The 23,177-nt window shown below is 40.7% G+C and overlaps 1 protein-coding gene across 4 annotated transcripts in view, besides 2 other annotated features; it reads right to left on the bottom strand.

Moving 5' to 3' along the window:
* NR1D2 (nuclear receptor subfamily 1 group D member 2) overlaps positions 1–23,177 on the bottom strand; it is a 35,332-nt gene that overhangs the window by 9,806 nt on the left and 2,349 nt on the right. For 2 of the 4 annotated variants that reach the window (NM_005126.5, NM_001145425.2), the window contains exons 2-7: positions 16,009–16,275; positions 14,687–14,775; positions 10,997–11,141; positions 8,207–8,835; positions 5,650–5,835; positions 2,789–2,999 (exon numbers count right to left, since the gene is read on the bottom strand). In NM_005126.5, the coding sequence (NP_005117.3) occupies positions 2,789–2,999; positions 5,650–5,835; positions 8,207–8,835; positions 10,997–11,141; positions 14,687–14,775; positions 16,009–16,275 (1,527 nt within the window). Of the gene's footprint in view, positions 1–2,788; positions 3,000–5,649; positions 5,836–7,481; positions 7,589–8,206; positions 8,836–10,996; positions 11,142–14,686; positions 14,776–16,008; positions 16,276–23,177 lie in introns of all 4 variants that reach the window. The other 2 variants (NR_110524.2, XM_006713451.4) reach the window with 2 other exon arrangements.
* Positions 1,768–1,968: a silencer, noted in NCBI's record as "peak4577 fragment used in MPRA reporter construct". NCBI's record gives its function as "represses an SCP1 promoter by STARR-seq MPRAs in K562 erythroleukemia cells {active_cell/tissue: K562}" and the evidence as "EXISTENCE:reporter gene assay evidence [ECO:0000049][PMID:32103011]".
* Positions 21,780–22,074: a silencer, noted in NCBI's record as "tiled region #12700; K562 Repressive DNase matched - State 7:EnhWF". NCBI's record gives its function as "represses a minimal TATA promoter and a strong SV40 promoter by Sharpr-MPRA in K562 cells {active_cell/tissue: K562}" and the evidence as "EXISTENCE:reporter gene assay evidence [ECO:0000049][PMID:27701403]".

Genomic DNA, 23,177 nt, shown 5'->3' with positions numbered 1-23,177 from the left:
GAAACTCCATCTCCAAAAATAAAAATAAAAAAACAAACAACAACAACAACAAAAAACAGCTAGTAATTTTTAAGTGGTAAGGATTAAAATTTGACATGAAACTTCATATATGTGTACTTGTATATGTTCATACAGTGACATAACAAAAATTAGAATGCACTGTATTCTTTTACAATCAGTCTTTCACACTTAATTTTCCATTTTTAAAATATATCCTATATAAACAAACAGGTAAATGGATAGATGGATAGGCGAATGGATAGATGGATAGGTAAATGGATAAAGACTCCCCAATATTAATAGTGATCTTTTCTGGTAGTGATATTATAACCTTTTTTTTCCATTTTAATATTTTCTACATTTTCAAAGAACCCATATTAAATTTATAATCAGAAAAAAGGCTTTTTCAAAAACAGATTAAATCAAACTAAAAATCATGTTCCTATCCTGAAATAACAAGGTTCGTTCCTGGCATACAGAGTTTCCCTCTACCCCTTTGCCATCATTTCTTCCTCTGAACTACCTCTGGGAAGTTGGCCCTTCTACTTCATCTCACCTGCCTTAATTTATTTTAGAAGAGTTCACCCCACCTGATGTCATTTCAAAAGCTTCTCAACCTAACTCTCTAGCACTAATGACTTACCTATCTAATCTGCCCACCACAATAAAAATGCAGAATTAATGTTAAACATCACTTTGTTCAACCAGATCACTCTCCTACTTAAGAAGGTACACAGACTTTCTTCTGCCCCATATTTTGGTTAAAATCTCCCCGCTTAGTTCTCATAGCTGTTAGTCCATAACCTGGTGCTCCCCTAACTCTGAAGGCTTTTGTCCCCCTTCCTCCTTGATGTACACTCCAGGCTTTGGCCACCTGACCCTTCCCCGGCCCTATCTCGTACTCTCTCATGCCTTTCCATCTCTTCTTCACTGGGAAAGCTTAATAATTCAACCTTCAAATTCCAGCTCCACTTCTATCTTTCCCCACAGAGCCTTCCAAGATGATTTCACCTTCCTTTCTACAACTCCAGCTTACCTCAGACAGAGAACTACACGGTTTAGTAGCATAAAGCTCTTTGTGTAGTTTCATCTCTCCAAAAAGAATGAAAACACTTAGCAAGCTTGTGCCTTAAAGCTTTCTGTCTCCCCCTGAGCACCTAATAGGTACGGCATATTCATCAGATAAATAATTTAACAAGTATTGATTATCTGTGGTTTCAAAATAATCGATTAATCTGATGTCAACTCAAACCAATACTAATTACTTATCAAGAGATTCTGCAAATGATAGGTAAAATGCAAGAGGCATTATAAATTAGCTATAAAACAGATATCCCTTATTGACATATTCCTTTCATACTACTCCCACGTCATATACACATTTTTAGTTATCCAGGTAGAGCTGGTCAGAAAAGGTAGCCAAATTATGTTACCAAATGGCAAGTCTTTATTCCACTGAGGTACAGGTCCTCAAAATTATACAAATAACTTGTTTTTTTTTTGTTGTTTTTGTTTTTGTTTTTTAACACGGAGTCTCGCTCTGTCACCCAAGCTGGAATGCAAGCTGGTGTGATCTCGGCTCACGGCCACCTCTGCCTCCCAGGTTCAAGCGATTCTCCTGCTTCAGCCTCCTGAGTAGCTGGGACTACAGGCACGTGCCACCATGCCCGGCTAATTTTTGTATTTTTAGTAGAGAAGGGGGTTTCACCATGTTGGCCAGGCTGGTCTCAAATTCCTGACCTCAGGTGATCCACCCACCTCAGCCTCCCAAAGTGCTGGGATTACAGGCGTGCACCCCTGGCGCCTGGCCAAGAACTTGTTCTCTTTCAAGAGCTACTAATTTATGGTTTAGCTACATAATCAGAGGCCGTAACTTATAACTCTCACAATGCCTAGCACAGTGCCCTTTACACAGTAGGAAGCAAATGGGAAACAAAGTCATAACCAAATACTAAAAAATTCCCAAATGTTATACAATAAAATGATGCCTAAAAATAGCTGGCACTTACTTAGACATACCCAGGAAAGTACCTCAATTTCCATTTGTTATTGGGAGTAACAATCTCTGCCTTAATGGGTACTGTCAGAAATAACTGTAATATTAATGCAAGATGGCAGGGGCATTGGGAAACATCATAAATGACTCATATAAATAAACATTAGAAACTCAAAAATCTTGCTCACTCATTCAAACAGTGACTGAGTAGCTCTTCTATGCCAGACACCACACTAGGCTCACATGGTACAACCCCTTCCTTTGACAGGATGAGGAAGGAATCCAAGACCCAAAAGAGTAAAGTTACTTACCCAAGTTACCCACATAATTCAATGGCAGAACTGGACTAAAGCCTACAACTAATTCACATTTCTCTGCAACAAACCACACTAATACCTCTTGATACTTTTAATGTTTTCAAGTAACCCACATTGTATTTGAATGGAAACTGAAATTCATATTACAACTACCTACCTGGAGATACATAATGTTCTAACAAATTCATGAAATAAAGATTTAGACTCATAGAAAAATTATGAACAAAAAGCTAAAGACTAACAGTGGTAAACACAAGGCCTAGATGTAAGTATTACTTTATTCCTATAGTACTTTGACATATATTGTTATAACGAAAAAATTAGTTACACAAAAATAACAGGGTCATACAATTTAGCATCTTCCTTAAGGCCTTATTCCCTCTATATAACTTTCTGGAACCCTGTTAACTGCCATCTTCTCCCCAGTTGGTCACTATATGCTAGGTGTGGCACAATTTTGAACCAGCTTGCTTACCTGCAGATACCAGGACAACAGCTGTAAACAAACTCATCTCTTCATCACTAAGTTGGAGGGCATTTAGCTTCTCACTAAATTCAAACATAGAGTTTAGCAGATCCCCTGCTCCCATTGAGTGTAAATCATCCACACTATATTTCTTTCCACTTAAAAAGGTGACAGTACGTTCCTTTGCATCAAATAATGATGCGAACCGTACCATTAAAACCTGGAAAAAGAAAAAGAAATGTATTTGGAGAAGTCTAACAGCAATAATAAAAAAATAACTTAGTATTCAATCAAGTCAGTTATGAATCATCCCACATATAAAAGAAAGTTATAAAAGAAAAACAGGGTATACTTTTACTCAAAACCACTCTATTCTATTCTATTCTATATTCTATATTCTATTCTATTCTATTTTTGACATGGAGTTTCGTTCTTGTGGCCCGAGCTGGAGTGCAATGGCATGATCTTGGCTCACTGCAACCTCCGCCTCCCGGGTTCAAGCATTTCTCCTGCCTCGGCCTCCCAAGTAGCTGGGATTACAGGTGTGCGCCACCACGCCCAACTAATTTTTGCTATTTTTAGTAGAAGCAGGGTTTCACCATGTTAGCAAGGCTGGTCTCAAACTCCTGACCTCAGGTGATCCACCCGCTTCAGCCTCCCAAAGTGCTGGGATTACAGGTGTGAGCCACCATGCCAGATTTTATTTTTTGAGATGGAGTTTTCTTCTTGTCACCCAGGCTGGAGTGCAGTGGCACGATCTCAGCTCACTGCAACCTCTGCCTCCTGGGTTCAAGCGATTCTCCTGCCTCAGCCTCCCAACTAGCTGGGATTACAGGCACACGCCACCACGCCCAGCTGATTTTATTTTTAGTAGAGATGGGGTTTCACCATGTTGACCAGGCTGGTCTCAAACTCGTGACCTTAGGTGATCCACCCATCTCGGCTTCCCAAAGTGCTAGAATTACAGGCATGAGCCACAGCGCCCGGCCTATTTATTTATTTATTTATTGAGACAGGGTCTTGCTCTGTTGCCCAGGCCGGAGATGCAATCACAGCTCACTGCAACCTGAACCTCCCCGGCTCAAGTGATCCTTTCCACCTCAGCCTCCTGAATAGCTGAGAATACAAATACATACCACCACACCCAGCTAATTTTTGTATTTTTTGTAGAGACAGGGTTTCACCATGTTGCCTAGGCTGGTCTCGAACTCCTGGACTCAAGTGATCGGCCTGCCTCGGCCTCCCAAAGTGCTGGGATTACAAGCATGAGCCACTGCACCCGGTCCCAAAACCACTTTCTTAAGACAGATTCTCTACCAAAGCAATAAATACTCCAAGAAGAACATCAAAAGAAATTCTAGCCACTCATGGCAAAGATACTCTGCCACTCTATTAACAAAGATTCTGAAATGCAATATAAAATTAGAGCAAGAAATAGTGCCAGTAAATTTAAAACTGGGCCCTGGCCAAAGGCATTAAAGAATCTCTTTAGGCTGCCAAGTATAACACATGGCCTCTATGCCTTAAGTAAAAAGAGCAAAATTCCAATGCAGCAACACTTCGAAACATCAACACATCAAATGCAGCCAAGGCAAAGGAAGCAGATGAAGTCTAACTGAACTGCTTCAAGAAACCAACACCCAAAGAGACTATCCACAAAGAAAGCTATCACAGTAAGTGTTCTAAGCACCATGTTATAATTGACATCCAAGTTAAATCGGTTAACAATTATATTACTTAGTTATCTCACTCCCTCCGTTATAATAAATCCAGGGAGAAGTGAAAATATAGCCCTGGCTCACTTCTTCCATCCATAAAAGGTTCAAAGATTTGGCCCACCAAACATCAACTTCCTCTCACCACCCCAATCTCAGAGTTGTCCTTAATTAGGTCCCAAGGCATCTCACACCTTGGCAGCAAAAGGGATGCCCTGGGGCAGACAGAAGGTGAAAGACACCTAACTAAGGACCAGGAGAGGCACATCTGTTAAGTTATACAGTAGAGACTACCCCAAGCCCAAGCAGGATACAGTGTTGCAAGAGAAGCGGGACAGAAAAGTAGCCAAGGATCCTGAAGCAAGGTGAAACCAGGAAGAGCTAAGGTGGCACATAAGAAATGTCTGATATATCCCCAAAATATTCTACAGTCTCTCGAAAAACGAAATCACATTCTATTTGCCCTTCTTATTCTGTATCGAATACAGTAAATGCTAGGCTAGGCTTTCAGGAGGTGTCTAACACTGCAGAAACTTGTTAAGTCCACATCTAAAAGCAATACTAGAACTCAGGAGTTCATATGCTGTAGATACAGAATACCTATATTTCAAATCCTAAATAATAAGTAAAAAATATATATAAAATCCTAAACAATTCTGGATTTACCAAGTCTCCCAAGTCTGTTCCCAAAATCCTGAGATGATGATTATTTTGTTGATAGTTTCAGACTCTGGACTATAAATACTGACTTAGAAAAGAATGAAAACATCTGCCGGGCACAGTGGCTCAGACCTGTAATCCCAGCACTTTAGGAGGCCAAAGTGGGCAGATCGCTTTGAGCTCAGGAGTTTGAGACCAGCCTGGGCCACAAGGCAAAACCCTGTTTCTACAAAAAAAAAAAAACAAAAAAAATTAGCCGGGCGTGGTAGCTCACACCTGTAGTCCCAGCTACTCAGGAGGCTGAAGCTGGAGAATGCTTGAACCCAGGAAGCAGAGGTTGCAGTGAGCTATGATCGCGCTGCTGCACTCCAGCCTGGGTGACAGAGCAGGATTCTGTCTCAAAAAAAAAAAAAAAAAAAAAAGAATTAAAACATCCATGAAAATAAAATACTACATGCCCTGCCTGCATCAATATTCAGGATAAATAAAACCTACCTCAAAAGTCCCAGCCTTTAAAAGGTTGACCTGGTCATGCTGAGAGAGATCTCTGAACCCAGGAATACGCTTTGCAAATTCCACCACTTCTTTCACTGCTGGAGTGAAGCTCATCGAAAATTCTTCCCAGATTTCATGTCCTGATTTATGAGGATCCACATATGGAGACTTACTCATTGGACAAACCTAGTATACATAAAACGGAAAAACTCTTAAATACTAAGAGGTGGTAAAGAAATGTCAAAAGCAGCATCTCAATTATCAGAAACCCCAACATGAATTTAACCCCCAAAACACAAGTAAAATCTACTGAGATATTAGCACTTCATCCATTTGCTGCCCACCATACTGTAGAAAGCCTCTTGGCAACCTAATATAAATAGCAATTAACTTATCATTAAAAAAAAGCCTAAGCAAAAATATCATCTATAACAAGCTATTTCAAACACCTGTTGCACAGGTTTAAGAGTTTATTTTGTAACACTGCTGCCACCTTATGCTAGTATATGGTGTTTTATAATTTTGCAAACAAATTCAATTGTTTGATTCTCAATCTATTATTCATGGCAGATTATAATTTCCATTTCTTAGGTGGAGAAATGAGACTCTGAGAGGTTTAGTGATTTGTCCAACACAGCCAGAAGTCACAAGCCTAGGCCCAAATTCACATTTAGTTAATATTTCCAAACTCCTTTATTTCTATATAGGTAGAATTACAATGTTGTAATTTCCAAGAAGAAAAAACAGCAAGGTGCCTCATTTTGTTGAAAAGGTCACTCACTGCCTGGCCGGGCGCAGTGGCTCACGCCTGTAATCTCAGCACTTTGGGAGACCGAGGCAGGCGAATCACAAGGTCAGGAGTTCGAGACTAGCCTGGCCAACATGGTGAAACCCTGTCTCTACCAACAATTAAAAAAATTAGCCAGACGTGGTGGCTTGCGCCTGTAGTCCCAGCTACTCAGGAGGCTGAGGCAGAAGAATCACTTGAACCGGGAGGCGGAGGTTGCAGTGAGCCGAGATCATACCACTGCACTCCAGCCTGGGTGACAGAGTGAGACTCCGTCTCGAAAAAAAAAAAAAGAAAAAAAAGTCACTGCCCATTTATTTCAAAAACAATGCTGTGATCACTGACTTCTACTTGTTCAATCAGGAAACAAGGACTGCAGATACAGGTGTGTCTTCTAAATGACGACTGCGTGAGGGAAAATAGGAAGCCAAGAAGTTATTAAAAAAAAAAAAAAAACACCAAAAAGATGATGAAACACACCTGTATATTCTATTAGTAAAATCAGCCTTTAAATTTTCACTAAATCCATACAAAATCTAGGAATGGGATGATTACAAAACCATAGAGAATATCATGAAATCAGAACCAAAATGCCCACAGATTTTTCCTTCATTAAGGCAGCCACTTGGCCAGGCGTGGTGACTCATGCCTGTAATCCCAGCACTTTGGGAGGCCGAGGTGGGTGAATCACTTGAGGCCAGGAATTCAAGACCAGCCTGGCCAACGTGGTGAAACCTGTCTCTACTGAAAATACAAAAATTAGCCAGGCATGGTGATGCATGCCTGTAATCCCAACTACTTGGGAGGTTGAGGCATGAGAATTGCTTGAACCCAAGAGGTGGAGGTTGCAATGAGCTGAGGTCGCGCCACCGCACTCCAGCCTGGGCAACAGAGCAAGAATGTCTCAAAAAAAAAAACAAAAAAGCAACGACTTAGCCTAACATAAGGTCCACAGAATCAAATAACTCCAAGTGACAACAAAAATTTTAATGAAGATTGAGGTAGAGTCAACTATTTTGAAAATGAAAAAGACGACTTTAATTACCTGTCAGTAGAAAATACCAAGCACTATCAAAGGACTTCATGGTTTAAACTGGAAATGGTGTGGTACTGCTGTTTTTGGTGAAATTTTGGCTGAATATGAACACTGTACTTTGATGTAGAATGTCGTATTTGATGGAAAAATAGAAAAGCTTCAATGATATGACCAACATTAAGTCATCTCATAAGATGAAGTCTGAGAAAATCCTTAGAAATTAGCCTATGAAATTAAAATACTCCTAAATTTATCAAACAATAAAACATCTATGTTCTATATCCAAAGACCTTCTTGCATAATAATGGTTAAAAAAAAAAAAAACCTCTTTCTATAGAAATCAAAGAATTTCTAACTATGGCAAGCGAAAAGTTCGGCCCTTTGAGAAAATCCCAAAGCTAGTAAGGTACTAATTAACCAGAATGCTTAAATTTTCAAAGGGATTTCCAAGAATTAAAGGACCAATTCTGCATGAATCATATTTTACATAAAATCCTAATCCCAATCTCAGATCAATCAAATCACATGCTTGTACCTAGCTGGGTGTGAAATTAGGTCATTCATCAGAAGATGTTTATTAAAATTATTTGACCTAAAATACTGTACAAAATTAAGTCTGTAAATTTCTTAGGTTTCCTGACACCATCCCCCCAAGTTAGCATATCTCCCGAATAAAAGAAAATTTTCAAAGCTTTCCCTGATACAATGTAAGCAAAAAATCGATTTCACTATACCAGATGCATTCTTCCTCCAGTGTTGCACAGGTAACTATTCTTGTTCTCATTCTGAGAAAATCCATCTATCGGAACTCTATCACATACTCTTTGAGTATAAGCATTGGAGAAGTTCATACAATGTCCATTTGCAATACAAATGGCATGACCATTTGGGTAATGCATTATATTCCTCCCTTTGAACTGTCCATTGAGATGCTGCTGGCTCTCACTACAGGGAAAATGGCTGCTAAGCCCATTGCCGCAATGATCATGATTTAAATTATATTGCTCCATGTTCTTGGGAATCCGTTCTCCTCTCTGGGGCTGCATGCTCTCAGCTGAGTTTTCTTGCTGCTCTTGATTATACATAAAGGTATCCTTGTGAGCTCTGGTCACCATGCCAATCACTTCTTCCTTTGCAAAATCAGAAGATGGAGGAGAAGAGCTTTTGATGTTTTCTTGCTCCAGTTGGGGCTTGGGTCGCAGCTGTTCCTGGGCTGGCAAGGCTGTCTGTTCATGATGTTCTACTAATGTGTCATTTTGCAAGTGACCACTGAACTGGCTGTTCATCATGGTCTTCATTGCACTTTGCATTTCAATTAGCATCCTCTGTTTTTCACGCTTAGGAATACGACCAAACCGAACAGCTATTGAAGAAAAAGATATTTAACGTCTATATTCTAAATAAGACCTGTTTTGTATAAAAGAATAACACAAAATTATCCAACAGTTATGGCCTCTAGTCATACATATAAAGAATGAGTCTACATGTCTCTGGTCCACATTTTTCTAAACTTGCTGGTCTTGATGCACCAAAGGAAGTAGGAGAGGGAGAGAAAATTTTCTATTTTCCCCCCACAACAAAGTTAAGGACATCTACCTCCTAGGTATTTTATAAGCAAAGTCTAAGAAAAGAAATAGGAAATTCGGATGGGTGCAGTAGCTCATGCTTCTAATCACAGCACTTTGGGAGGCTGAGGCAGGTGGACCACCTGAGGTCAGGAATTCGAAACCAGACTAGCCAATATGGTGAAACCCCGTCTCTACTAAAAAAACAAAAACTAGCCAGGTGTGATGGCGGGCGCCTGTAGTCCCAGCTATTCTGGAGACTGAGGCAGGAGAATCGCTTGAACCCAGGAGGCAGAGGTTGCAGTGCGTCGAGATGGTGCCAATGCACTCCAGCCTAGGTGACAGAGCAATACTCCATCTTAAAAAAAAAAAAAAAAAAAAAAAAGAAAGAAAAAGAAAAAAGAAATATGAAATTAGCTAATGAAAACCAGTTTGAAGCAGACCAGTATTACTACACAGCTCCTTACTAACAAAGCTGAGGACTGTTCCCAGCAAGGCATGTGTGATTCAGCTACACACATCCATTACCATTAATGGAATCTGGTAGGTGAAATCATTCCCTGAACACCTGGCCCTTGTCAATTCATTTTTGTAACTTTGCTCTCAAGATCTAACTATGAAATTATCTGCTGTCTTCTTTTCCAGCCTCTTTAAAAAAAAAATCCTTAAAAAAAATTCCACAATCAGTAGAAATGCACTTACTGAAAAATAAACTTGGTAGATTTTAATTAAAACCAGTGAAATAAGTAAAAATGAGATAAGTCATCCTCTATTCTTTTAGAAGCTAGTCTTAGAAGGTGTCTTGTCTCCAATAATCCTATCCATGAGAGAAAGAAAAGCTTCTTTCACAGTCTAGTATTTACACAGAGATAATAAAAATTCAGTATACTTGCCCAGAAAGCCTCGTTAATCTAATTGTAGCCTCTAACATTATTGCTACCAAAAACAAACAACTTAATCATGTTTGATACTTTATCTCTACTCCTCCCTTCACAAATGATTGTCAGTTTTATTCTTTCAGGGCAATCACAATATCCATCAACTATTTTTATAGCATTAGTACTTTTAGCACTATAAAAAAAATTTCAGGGAATTGAAAAAACAAAACATCAATTGCTGAAATCTGTTACTCAAAAAACTCCTGGCCACGCCTGATGGCTCACACCTGTAATCCCAGCGCTTTGGGAGGCCGAGGCAGGTGGATCACTTGAGGTCAGGAGTTCGAGACCAGCCTGGTCAACATGGTGAAACCCCCATCTCTACTAAAAATACAAAAATTAGCCAGGTGTGGTGGCGGGCACCTGTAATCCCAGCTACTCAGGAAGCTGAGGCAGGAGAATCACTTGAACCTGGGAGATAGAGGCTACATTGAGACAGAGTGTCACCGTGTCACCCAGGTTAGAGTGCAGTGGCACGATCTCAACTCAGTGCAACCTCCACCTCCTGGGTTCACGCTATTCTCCTGCCTTAGCCTCCCGAGTAACTGGGATTACAGGTGCATGCCACCACGCTCAGCTAATTTTTTTTTGCATTTTTAGTAGATATGGGGTTTCACCATGGCTGGTCTGGAACTCCTGACCTAAAGTGACCCACACACCTCAGCCTCCCAAAGTGTTGGGATTACGGGCGTGAGCCACCATGCCCGGCCATATAAAAAATGTTTTTAAACTCCATTGGTTTTAGGAAAAAATAAAAAGTAATCAAATTGCACAGAAAAAAAATGGCTCTTTTTAGAAGAAGCAACAACAACAGAAGTTTAGCCAAAAACTGTTTCTGGGATGATAATGCTAAAATACGACTTTAATCAATTTGGTGTCCTGTAAAGCATGAAAATATGTTTTCTGCTTCACCTTAAATACAAGAGGGTCCTTGGTAACCGGTTTATAGCTCTGGTTCATGATGAGGAATAAAAGCCAAGCTCCATACACTTTAGGAACACTCTTTAAACTGGGAACATACCATCTCTTGACATTCCAACAGACAGACACTTTTTGAAGCGACATTGCTGACATCTGTTCCTATTCATTCTCATTATAGAACAGTTTTCATTCTTCAGGCACTTCTTGTACTGGATGTTTTGTTGAATACTTCTCCGAAAGAAACCCTAAGAACAAAGGAAGATTTACTTACCCATTTAAAAACACCCAAATGAACTTCTTATAAACACTGCTCCCATACCTATCTAGTGTATATGACGAACTACAGTCCCAGTATATGACTCACTATCTGGGAAACACTATGTCTTAGGACAGAGGGAAATACAATGTTGACACACAGAATTTAATTTCGATTCTTATTGGTATGAGTAAGCACCTAACACCTACTAACCAAACAAAATTCTTCTTCCCTTCAGAGATTCTTTGTCCTTACCCAAAACACCCCTTGCAACAACCACACTACCCTGTTACCAGACCCTGCCTGCAGTCACATTTTCCATCTCATACTTTTATTCACTACAAATTCCAAAACTCTTGAAGTATGAATGACTGATTCTTTTTTTTTTTTTTTTTTGAGATAGGATCTCGTTCTGTTGCCCAGGCTAGAGTGCAGTGGCATGATCACAGCTCACTGCAGCCCTGACCTCCCTGGCTCAATTTTCCAACCACAGCCTCACAAACAGCTGGGACTACAGGCATGCGCCACCACACCCAGCTAATTTTTGTATTTTTTGTAGAAATGAGGTTTTGCCATGTTGCCTAGGCTGGTCTTGAACTCCAGGGCTCAAGTGATCTGCCAGCCTTGGCCTCCCGAAGTGTTAGACTTACAGGGTGTAAGCCACCACCACTCCGGACCTGATTTTTTGTTTGTTTGTTTGCTTGCTTTCTTGAGACAGACTCTTGCTCTGTAGCCCGGGCTGGAGTGCAGTGGTGCGATCTCAGCTCACTGCAACCTCCACCTCCCAGATTCAAGGGATTCTCCTGCCTCAGCCTCCCCAGTAGCTGGGATTACAGGCACGTGCCACCATACCTGGCTAATTTTTTGTATTTTTAGTAGAGACAGGGTTTCACCATGTTGGCCAGGCTGGTTTTGAACTCCTGACCTCAACTGATCCGCCCACCTTGGCCTCCCAAAGTGCTAGGATTACAGGCACGAGCCACCATGTCCAGGCTTTTTTTTTTTTTTTTTTTTTTTAAAGAGACAGGGTCTTGCTCTGTCACCCAGGCTGGAGTACAATGACGTAATAATAGCTCACCGCAACTTCGAACTCCCGGGCTCAAGCAATCCTTCTGCCTCAGCCTCCCAAGAGCTGGGACTACAGACATGTGCTACCACATCCAGCTTTTTTATTTTTTGTAGAGGTAGGGTCTCCCTATGTTGCCCAGGTGGGTCTCACACTCCACCTCAAGCAATCCTACAGCTTCAGCCTCCCAAAGAGCTAGAATTACAGGCCTGAGCCACTGCACCCAGCCTAAATGACTACTTCTTAAAAAGTGGACTGAGAAATATGTTTGATAGCTATAATCCCCTCACTAGATTGTGGATTACATTAACAGAAGTTGGTCTTTCCAGGATCATTACCTGCTGACAATGGCAAGGCCTACTTATACATGACAGAAATCACTGACTACGTGCCAGCAACAGGTAAGTGTTACACCACACACCAACAGAGTAGCTAACTATCCAAGGAAAGACAGTTCCCAACTAGATGGCTACAAACAGCTGCCTTTACTCCACACACAAACAATTCCAGTACATGTTCTGTGATAGGTCTCCAAAGATCTCCAGTTTCATGGTACCAGGGAGGACAGAAAACTCAAGAATGCAATTACTGAAATTATTTTAAACTGCATTTTCCTTTTATATGACAACTAAACACATTTCCCGAATCTATACTAAGTAGTCATGGGACACAACATTTTTATATTTTATTATTGTGATACTATACACTTGACTTAGATACTACAAGAGCTGAACTAGACATTTTAAGAGTACTGCACAGATGTGTATTTATCAAGAATATGCAATCAGCTCATTCAGTTTGTGCTTTTATTTTCTAGCTATAAAGTAAGAATAATGCCTTCCCCAATATTACTTCACTTTTTTTTTTTTTGAGACGGAATCTGGCTCTGTCGCCCAGGCTTGGAGTGCAGTGGTGCAATCTCAGCTCACTGCAAGCTCCGCCTCCCGGGTTCACGCCATTCTCCTGCCTCAGCCTCCCGAGTAGCTGGGACTACAGGCGCCCACCACTACGTCCGGCTAATTTTTTTTTTTTTGTATTTTTAGTAGAGACAGGGTTTCACTATGTTAGCCAGGATGGTCTCGATCTCCTGACCTCGTGATCCGCCCGCCTCGGCCTCCCAAAGTGCTGGGATTACAGGCGTGAGCCACCGCACCTGGCCTATTACTTCACATTTTTGTAAAAAAAAAAAAAAAAAAAAAAAAAGATATATAGAGAAGGAGAATCTTTTTTAAACAATGAAAAAAATGCTACATCTATAAAAAATACTGACTTGTCTTACAAAGTTACCCGGCCATTAAAAGTTAGCAAACTTGGCAGGGCGCGTGGCTCACGCCTGTAATCCCAGCACTTTGCGAAGCCGAGGCGGGCAGATCACCTGAGGTTAGGAGTTCAAGACCAGCCTGGCCAATGTGATGAAACCCCGAATCTACTAAAAATACAAAAATTAGCCTGGAGTGGTGGCGTGTGCCTGTAATCCCAGCTACTCGGGAGGCTGAGACAGGAGAATCACTTGAACCCAGGAGGCAGAGGTTGCAGTGAACCAAGATCACACCACTGCACTTCAGCCTGGGAAATAAGAGCAAAACTCCATCTAAAAAAAAAAAAACTGGCAAACTCGCAATTCATTCAGAGCCACACTTGAAAATATTTCCTCTCCCATCATGTATATTCATTATCTTGTTTACCCATCATATCTCGCCAAACTAGATTCTTGCTTGTGGCCTCAAGTCAGAGAACAGCAAGAACATGTGTCTTCATCACGTTAATTTTTGATACTCAGGAGAAAAGATTGTGCCAAGTTTTTTAAAAAGAGAGAAAGATTCCCTGTATATAGGTAGGGAGGTAGAGACCATCTCACTTGGAATTATTTGACCAATACTCTAATAGCAATAACTAGAAAATAGTCAACTAAACTTACAAATAAACTAGCTTTCCCAAGGGCTCAACTTATATTCAGGATTATTTTACTCACTTGGCATTATTTTTTAAGATACCACATTTTTTTCAAGTATGTAGCAATTATTCCCAGCTCCCAGTACCTGACGTGTCATTAAGTCAAAGTATATGATGAGATCCTAATTCAAAGTTTGGTTTAAACTAAGTTCCCACAAGGCAGAAGTAGTGCCTTCTCTGTTTTGTTCCTTGTTATTTCACTACCACCTAGAACTGTGCTTGACACATTAATGAATGAGCATTTGGTGCACTTGGTTTAACACAATAAGTATGTTTAATTGAGATAGCAAATTTACTTTGTTCAAAATCTTAAAGAAAAAAGAAATACTTTCACTGAATTAAGAATATTATTCAAAACAAGTTATGCTTATACACTACATAAAATGCTTAAAACTTAAAAAGAGCAGCTGACTTCTCACTGTCTCTCAGACTATCAATTGCACAAATGGGTAAATCTAAACCCAACTTCTTAAATCCCAGAATCAGTAGCTTAAAGAAACAAAAGCATGCTTTACCTTACAGCCTTCGCAAGCATGAACTCCATAGTGGAATCCTGACGCCACATCCCCACAGACTTTACACAGTAGAACCATGCCACTAAATTCTAGGACACAAAAGGACACGAAGTAAAAAGTAGGAGGAAACACCGAGTCTGTTTTCTTTCCAATTAGATATTTTATTTCATTCAACGTGTAAGAGCTTTTAGAAGATACACATCTACTTTCATAATGTAAAAGAAAAATATTTTCAAATCAAAAGTAATCACAATCATAATTTTCTTACGGTGTTTTTTTTTTGTTTTGCTTTGTTTTGTTTTAAAGATAGAGTCTCCCTCTGTCGCCCAGGCTGGAACGCAGTGGCGTGATCTCAGCTCATTGCAACCTCCACACTTCCCAGGTTCATGTGATTCTCATGCCTCAGCCTCCCAAGTAGCTGGGACTACTACAGGCATGCACCACCACACCCAGCTAATTTTTGTATTTTTAGTAGAGATGGGGTTTTGCCATGTTGCCCAGGCTGGTCTTGAACTCCTGGACTCCGCCCCACTCAGCCTCCAAAAATATTGGGATTACAGGTGTGAGCCACCACACCCAGCCATAATTTTCTTTTAAATACAACTTATGGCACTGACAAAAATACCTCGCTGACCCGGATTTTTCCTTTCCTGATTTTAGAATTACACTGAAATTTTGTAAATTTATTTTTTTTCCAGACCTGTCAGCAGGAAATAAGAAATTTTGTAAATTTAGAGTTACTTTATACCAGATATGCAACCAGAACTAAGAAAACAATTCTCTGGATAACAATTAAGAATTCAGACAGAGAAGTCAATCAATAAAAGGTGGAAAGGGATATCTCTCCACAGGCAGCTGTGTCAATTTACTTCACCTACAGAGGCCAGATAGGTCCAAATCCCCCTACTCATTTGGTTATCCCAATCCAACATTTCCTCATCCCAAATATTCCCAAATCCAGTTTCACTAACGTAACCCCTTCCCACAATGAGCAAGTACTCTGTTCTAGAAACAAGACTTAGTTCTAGTAGTTCAGAAGAAAAGTAACTGTGAAATGTAGTAAAAGAGGGTACCCTAGAGGGACCAGGGTCAGGCAGAGTACATAATCACATGTCTTGCTCTGAGGCAAGAATTAATGACAGCCCCTAGGTTATAACTTCTATCATCATCACTGATTTCTTCCCTAACTACTGATGTATGATTACCCAGCAAGGAGTGAAAACTGTACCCAGAAACATAATGGCCACCTAAATGAAAAGCTGATAAAATAAGCCCCATTTGCAATTAATGGCAGCAATCTTTAGAAAACCAAAGTAACTTACTTGTCACACCACTATGACTTTTTGTCATCCCAGGTGCACTCGATTTGCTTGTTTTCATAGAACAATCTATTCGATCATTCTTCAAGATGCCTTCAATATTGGCGAGATCACCATTCTTGGGATTACCATTGGTATCAGAATTAGAGCTATTTGGAGAAGATGGAACAGAAGAGGAGGAGGACTGGAAACTATTCTCAGAACCCTCACTGTGACAAGAGGCAGGGCTTGAGGCTGAGCTGGAAGAACTGATATAGGCAATCACACCTCCTAGAAAATAGGAGGAAAATCACATAATTAGATACAAGATAATACGTATTTTTTATTTTTGCAAATCTCAACAGTAAAGCCATTAACTTTAGAAACAGGATACTGATATGAAATGTTTGCTTACACCAAAAGCAAAAAATAAAGTATTTCCTTATTTCCCATTATTCGTCCTGCTTCCGCAAAGTTCAAAGCACATGTAACTCCCACTGATTTAAAAAGGGAGATAGGCCCGGCACACTGGCTCATGCCTGTAATCATAGTACTTTGGGGGCTGAGGTGGGAGGATTGTCGCTTGAGCCTAGGAATTTGAGACCAGCCTGGGCAACATAAGGTAATGCTGTTTCTACAAAAAAATTTAAAAACTTGCTGCATGTGGTTTGCACCCAGCACCTCTAGTAGTGCCAGCTATTCAGAAGGCTAAAGCGAGAGGATCACTTGAGCCCAGGAGTTCAAGGCTGTAGTGAGCCATGATCATGCTACTGCACTCTAGCCTGGAGACAGAGCAGGACCCCATCTCAAAGAAAGAAAAAATTAAGTGAGAAGGATTTCACTGGCTTGGATATTCTGAGCACATGGAGATCCTCACACCTAAAGCTTTTCATTTTCCAGTATTTTCCTAAAAGGACTAAAAAATGCTCCTAAGTAACTTCATTGCTCAAACAAACTGGCCATGAAGAAATCTGGTTCTGGTCTCTTCTTTGCCTCCTGTTATAGTTATCTGACACAATCCTAGAAACAATGAATTTATCATTTGCCTCCCCCAACACTTGGCTAGAAGCACAGGTTAATCCAGAACAGATGTAACATTTAGAATGGTAGATAAGGTAAATTATCTCAAAACAGGGATCGTTTCACAGCCCTTGCTCCCACACCTTTCTGTTTTGGTGTTCCCAGAAGACATATGTGGCTATCCACTAACCAATCCCCAGTTCAATACTCTCCCTTCTCTACCCCATTCTGCCATTCATCTCTAAGCAGCTCTTAAGAAATCCAGACTCACTACTTGTTCTTCTGACTCGCTCTTTATAGGTGTTAAAGATGCTAGAAGAATGCATGCTATACCAGAATAACAGTAAGGCTGAAGCTAATTCCCTCTACACAGAGCTATTGTCAAAATGTGATTCCCAATTTTATATAACCGCCACAACCCTTCTGAAAACTGGCATTTTTTTTTTTTTTTTTTTTTTTTTTTTTGAGACAGAGTCTCACTCTGTCACCCAGGCCGGAGTGCAGTGTCACAATCTCGACTTACAGCAACCTCCACCTCCTGGGTCCAAGCAATTTTCCTGTCTCAGCCTCCTGAATAGCTGGGACTACAGTCACATGCCACCACCCCCAGCCAATTTTTGTATTTTTTTTTTTAGTAGAGATGGGGTTTCACCATGTTGGTCAGACTGGTCTCGAACTCCTGACCTCAGGTGATCCACCCACCTTGGCCTCCCAGTGCTGGGATTACAGGTGTGAGCCACCGCACCGGGCCTATCAATCATTTTTAAACAAAAATCCACAAAGCAAAATGCTGAGGCCAAAACAATCCCAAAAAGACAGACATTGCCGTCTTTAGGCAAGAAAAAAAAAAACAGGCAGAGAAATTTAGAGTCACTTTTAGTCTGTCATGTAGTAGATATCAGATGTGTTTTTAAGCACCAATTATATATATTGAGGCTAAGAAACAAACCCTCTGAGGAGGAAAGCACAACCACAACTCTCAAGGGGTTTGAGTGCAACCCAGAAGGGAAGATAAAACAGGTGCCTACTATGCCAAGAAACACACAATGTTTTTCATCAGACACGATTTTTTTTTTTTTTTTGAGATGGAGTCTCACTCTGTTGTCCAGGCTGGAGTGCAGTGGCACAACCTCAGCTCACTGCAACCTCCGCCTCCCGGGTTCATGCGATTCTCCTCCTTCAGCCTCCTGAATAGCTGGGAATACAGGCGCCCGCCACCACGCCTGGTTAATTTTTGTTTTTGGTTTTTGTTTTTTTTTTAGTAGAGACAGGGTTTCACCATGTTGCCCAGGCTGGTCACGAACTTCCGACCTCAGATGATCCGCCCGCCTCCACCTCCCAAAGTGCTGAGATTACAGGTGTGAGCCACCGTGCCCAGCCCAGACACAAATTTAACATACATAAATTCAACTATATGCACTTGATTTTTAAGACAAAAATATCACTAACGTAGACAATTCCATCCACTGTTTTATTCATGAAGCCTATGCCTGGACTCGATCATGAGGTGAGAGGTGCAAATCTGCTCTTCCCAGTTAAACCCACTGTCCATATGCTCTCTTGCTATGTGCATCTCACCTTAATTAATCCTGCAATTAATATTTTTCCTGCAACATGGTCCCTAACTACAAACCAACCATCTCAAAGTGTGGGCCCTGGACTAGGGGCATCAGTATCACCCAGAATCTGTTAGAAATGCAAATTATCAGGCTCCGCTCCAGATCTACTGGATCAGAAACTTTAATAAGCCCTCTTGGTGATTCTGATGCACATCCAAGTTTGAAGAACACTGCCACAAGCCAACTACTTCATCTGTGCTCCCTGGAAGACAAAGTGACCAAGGTAGTTTTCATCTACCATTTATTCTAAAATCTAAAAACTCCAAAACTACAAACACAAGAAGAAAGATTCCCAACTTCGAGTTTATTTTCATCACCCAGAGAAATTATGTAAAATACATATCCTCAAAACTAGCTGGTGCTTTTTCAGAATACATGTTTCCAAGGCCCTGCCCAGACGAGAACACATCCTCAGGAATGTGCAATTTTAACAAGCTCTCCAAGCAATTATTTGCACATTGAAGTTTCAAAATGGCTACAATCAGTGAATTCAAACACAAATTGGCCCATAGTTTTAAAGATTGATGATTTCATCGATACAACCGCCAGAATATCATTAATACCCTGTGAATCCAAAGAGAAACCAACTTAACCTAGAAACCTAGCCAGTGTCATGTTACTGGATAAAACCATTGTGCTGTCTTTATATAACTTTAGAGATCTTAAGTCCACATTAAAAATTCCAGGTATTAGCACACTGCTACTTTTTCACAGATGTCTCCACTCACAATAGGACACTTTACAAAGACAAATATTCTTAGTCCTCAATGAAATTCCAAAGGAAGATCTCACAGCTATTTGTCTTCTCTAAAATAGTGTCTTAAGTACTAAATTCACATCTAACATCTCAGGAAAATAAAAGATAAGAAAGTGATGTTTTTCCTTGGAAGTAAGACTTTCCTAGGGCCCCCATTTTCAGTCATTTATGTTCACAAGATCTGCTGACTACCTTAGCTAAGAAATAAACTTTTAGAAATTAGAGCTGGCCGGGCACAGTGGCTCACGCCTGTAACCTCAGCACTTTGGGAGGCCGAGGCAGGCGGATCACCTGAGGTCGGGAGTCCAAGACCAGCCTGACCAACATGGAGAAACCCCATCTCTACTAAAAATACAAAATTAGCCAGGTGTGGTGGCGCATGCCTGTAATCCCAGCTCCTCAGGAGGCTGAGACAGGAGAATCACTTGAACCCGGGAGGCGGAGGTTGCGGTGAGCCGAGATGGCACCATTGCACTCCAGCCTGGGCAACAAGAGTGAAAACTCCATCTCAAAAAAAAAAAAAAAAAAAGAAAAAGAAAGAGAAAAGAAAAGAAATTAGAGCTATGCAGATGGCTTAAAAATTGGTTGCAAGCACTGACGGGGCAATGGACTGTATCGTAATTAATTAACCAAAAAACAATTTCCTTTGCAAAAGCTTCAATATCCAACCTAAAAGAAACTACTGGGCTATTATCAATCCAGCGAAGATCCAATTCCTGTCTTAAGAAAACAAGCATCTGTGCCAGGCACCAGAAAATCAAAGAAGACCCATCTAGAAGTAGCTGCATTCTCCTAGCAAGACCTTCAATATTGATTTAGTTGTCTTGGCATCTATTCTTGCTACTAGACACCCATCTATGAACCTGACTGATAGCAACCCAAATGGGTTAAATTTTAATTTCTTAGAAGAAAAGGAGTACATCTAGTAGTTCCTCAACCTAATGAAGAAAGGAAAGTGAAACTACAAGTCACCAAGTACCTACTGGATGTCAGGAATAAAATGACACAATTTCATCCTCACAAGAAGAACTCTGTGAATTAACTTTCATCAAATCATTTTTTAAACAAGGAGCTCAGAGAGGATAAGTCAGCCACTAAGTGGCAGGCCAAAGTTTAAAGTCAAGGTTGTCCAATTCCAGAGTACAAACTTATTTGGTGAGAAGACCTGAGCAAGCAAGTCACTTTCAATCTTTCTAAACCTGAGTGGTCTTCTATAAAATTGGAATATCTGCCACTTATTACAAGACTGAAATGAAATGGCATTCATAAGTGCTTTTTTCATACACTGTTTTTGATGATAAAGTAAGAAGAGTAAAAATCCCCAAACCAGCAAGTCCCAACACCTCCAAGAAACAGGCAGTATGTACCTCTTTGAAACCCTGAGCTAAAATTAGCTGAAGCAGTCTTCTCTATTTTCAGTTGAAAGGGACCCTGGACCTGGGCCAGGTTCCCAGGCTAGGGCTTACCCAGTGGTCAACTTCAGACAAGCCTTAAGTCAATATCCAATTTTGTACTGCTAGGAAGCACTGATATTCCTGCATATATTGGGGTCTTCTTACCCATTTTCTACACTTGTCCATCATCAAAACCCTCACACTTCCTCTGTCCACCATCCTGGAGATTATGTTTGACTTCAAGTCATGACTGTACTTTTCTGCCTTGTGACTTAGAACAAAACATTTTATCACCAAGAAGCTTTAGTTTCCCTCATTTTAAAAGTGTTATAAATAATTTCTACTCCAAGGGTGGTAGAGTAGATCTAACTGAAGCACTAAAATTCCAATTGTGTCCTAGGTGTCAGGGCTCCAGAGAACAGCATGGTCCTTTCCCTAAAATGCCTTATAGGCCAACTGGGGAAACACCTATGTTATTAGGAGCAATGTTTCACACACATGATTGTGACTGCTGAGGATCATACTAAAGAGGGCAGAAATCAATAGGGGCAAACACATCCAAGGTTGCAATATCTAAGTGGGGAATTGAAGACTGTTTAAATCATCAAAAGAGACATTTTTTAAATAGGGTGACACAAAAATAAATGGTGTGTTTTTTGTTGTTTTTTTTTTTCAGACGGAGTTTCGCTCTGTCACCCAGGATGGAGTGCAATGGTGTGATCTCGACTCACTGCCACCTCCGCCTCCTCGGTTCAAGCGATTCTCCTGCCTCAGTCTCCCAAGTAGCTGGGATTACAGGCACCCGCCACCACACCCGGCTAATTTTTGTATTTTTAGTAGAGACAGGGTTTCACATGTTAGCCAGGCTGGTCTCGAACTCCTGACCTCAGGTGATCTGCCCATCTCAGCCTCCCAGATTGCTAGGATTACAGGCATGAGCCACCATGCCCAGCCAAATCGGTCTTATTTTATAAAATAGACATTATTTTTATCTCCATGTAAATTACTGGAGAAGGGAGGTCAAGGTGTAATCTAATGTCTGGAAATAAGCCAGCATGACTAAAGAGAGGACTGATGAAACTGGGAGGCCCTGCAGATGACTATCCTTTTCCACTAGCTATAACCTACATATATCACTGCAAATTGAGTGGGGATCCATACACATGCAGTATCTCCTTCACCCTCAAGAAGACAGGACCACCAAGTTGCGTATAAATCTTCAAATATTATGCAGGCTAAAGTACATTATAGCACAGTAGTTAACAGTTTGTGTTCCCAAGTAAATTTTGTGGATTCAAATTCTGGCTCTACTACTTGCCTGAGTAAGTTATTTAGCTTCAATTTACTTAGCCCCGCATCATTAAGATGGTGGCAACGGCACCTTCCTTCATGGAATTAACATGAGGAACACATGTAAAAGGCCTGGCACAGAGTAAGAAGCTGATGATTATTTTTTTGTCATCATTATACTAGAAGAGTTCCAACAGAATGGTTCAAACCAAAGTAACTAATCCTCCCTACCCATTATTCACCTCATTTTTTAATGTGTGTTAAGGATCCAGTGGTTTCTTTGTAGGTTATTTCCACACTACCTTTTGAATCTCTTAACCCTACTGACCAGTAGAGCAACTTTTCTTCAATTCTTGCTTTTCCTTGCTCCAAGGAAAGATTTCTTTGCTCCACCTCTCCAATTTTTTTCCAAGTCTTTTACTCCACTGTTTTCACTTGTTACTCATGGGGCGAGGAGACATAGAGATGTCACGAAGGACAGTAAGATTACAGGATCACTGGTTGAATGTTTGTCAACTGATAACCAAACTAGAGGGAAGGGTAGAGGTGTGCCACACAGCGCTGAATCTGGCCCCACCTTGGTCAATGTTTACAAAAATTCGAAAGTTAAAAGGCTTTTTTTTTTTTTTGAGATGGGAGTCTCGCTCTTGTCGCCCAGGCTGGAGTGCAGTAGCGCGATGTCGGCTCACTGCAATCTTCACCTCCCAGGTTCAAGCTATTCTGCTGCTCAGCCTCATAAGTAGCTGGGATTACAGGAGCCCACCACCACGCCCGGCTAATTTTTGTCCTTTTAGTAGAGACGGGGTTTCACCATGTTGGCCAGGCTGGTCTCGAACTCCTTACCTCAGGGGATCCGCCCGGCTCAGCCTCCCAAAGTGCTGGGATTACAGGCGTGAGCCACTGTGCCCGGCCAGTTTAAGGCAATTCTTATTAGACCTCCTGCTTACTGATAGATAGCAGAAACTGTAAACATGGTGGGTAACAGCTTGTAACAGCTTTGAACTTAAGGCCAAATGAACGAGAGAAATTTTAAGAATGGTCATTGTAAATTCCTACACTTCAAGTCATGCAATTATCTGCACAATGAATGAAATCTAACTTCATAATAGTTCA

The sequence above is a fragment of the Homo sapiens genome, chromosome 3 (assembly GCF_000001405.40).
Source record: "Homo sapiens chromosome 3, GRCh38.p14 Primary Assembly".
NCBI classification, from domain to species: domain Eukaryota; kingdom Metazoa; phylum Chordata; class Mammalia; order Primates; family Hominidae; genus Homo; species Homo sapiens.
This window is presented reverse-complemented; position numbering and strand designations above follow the sequence as displayed.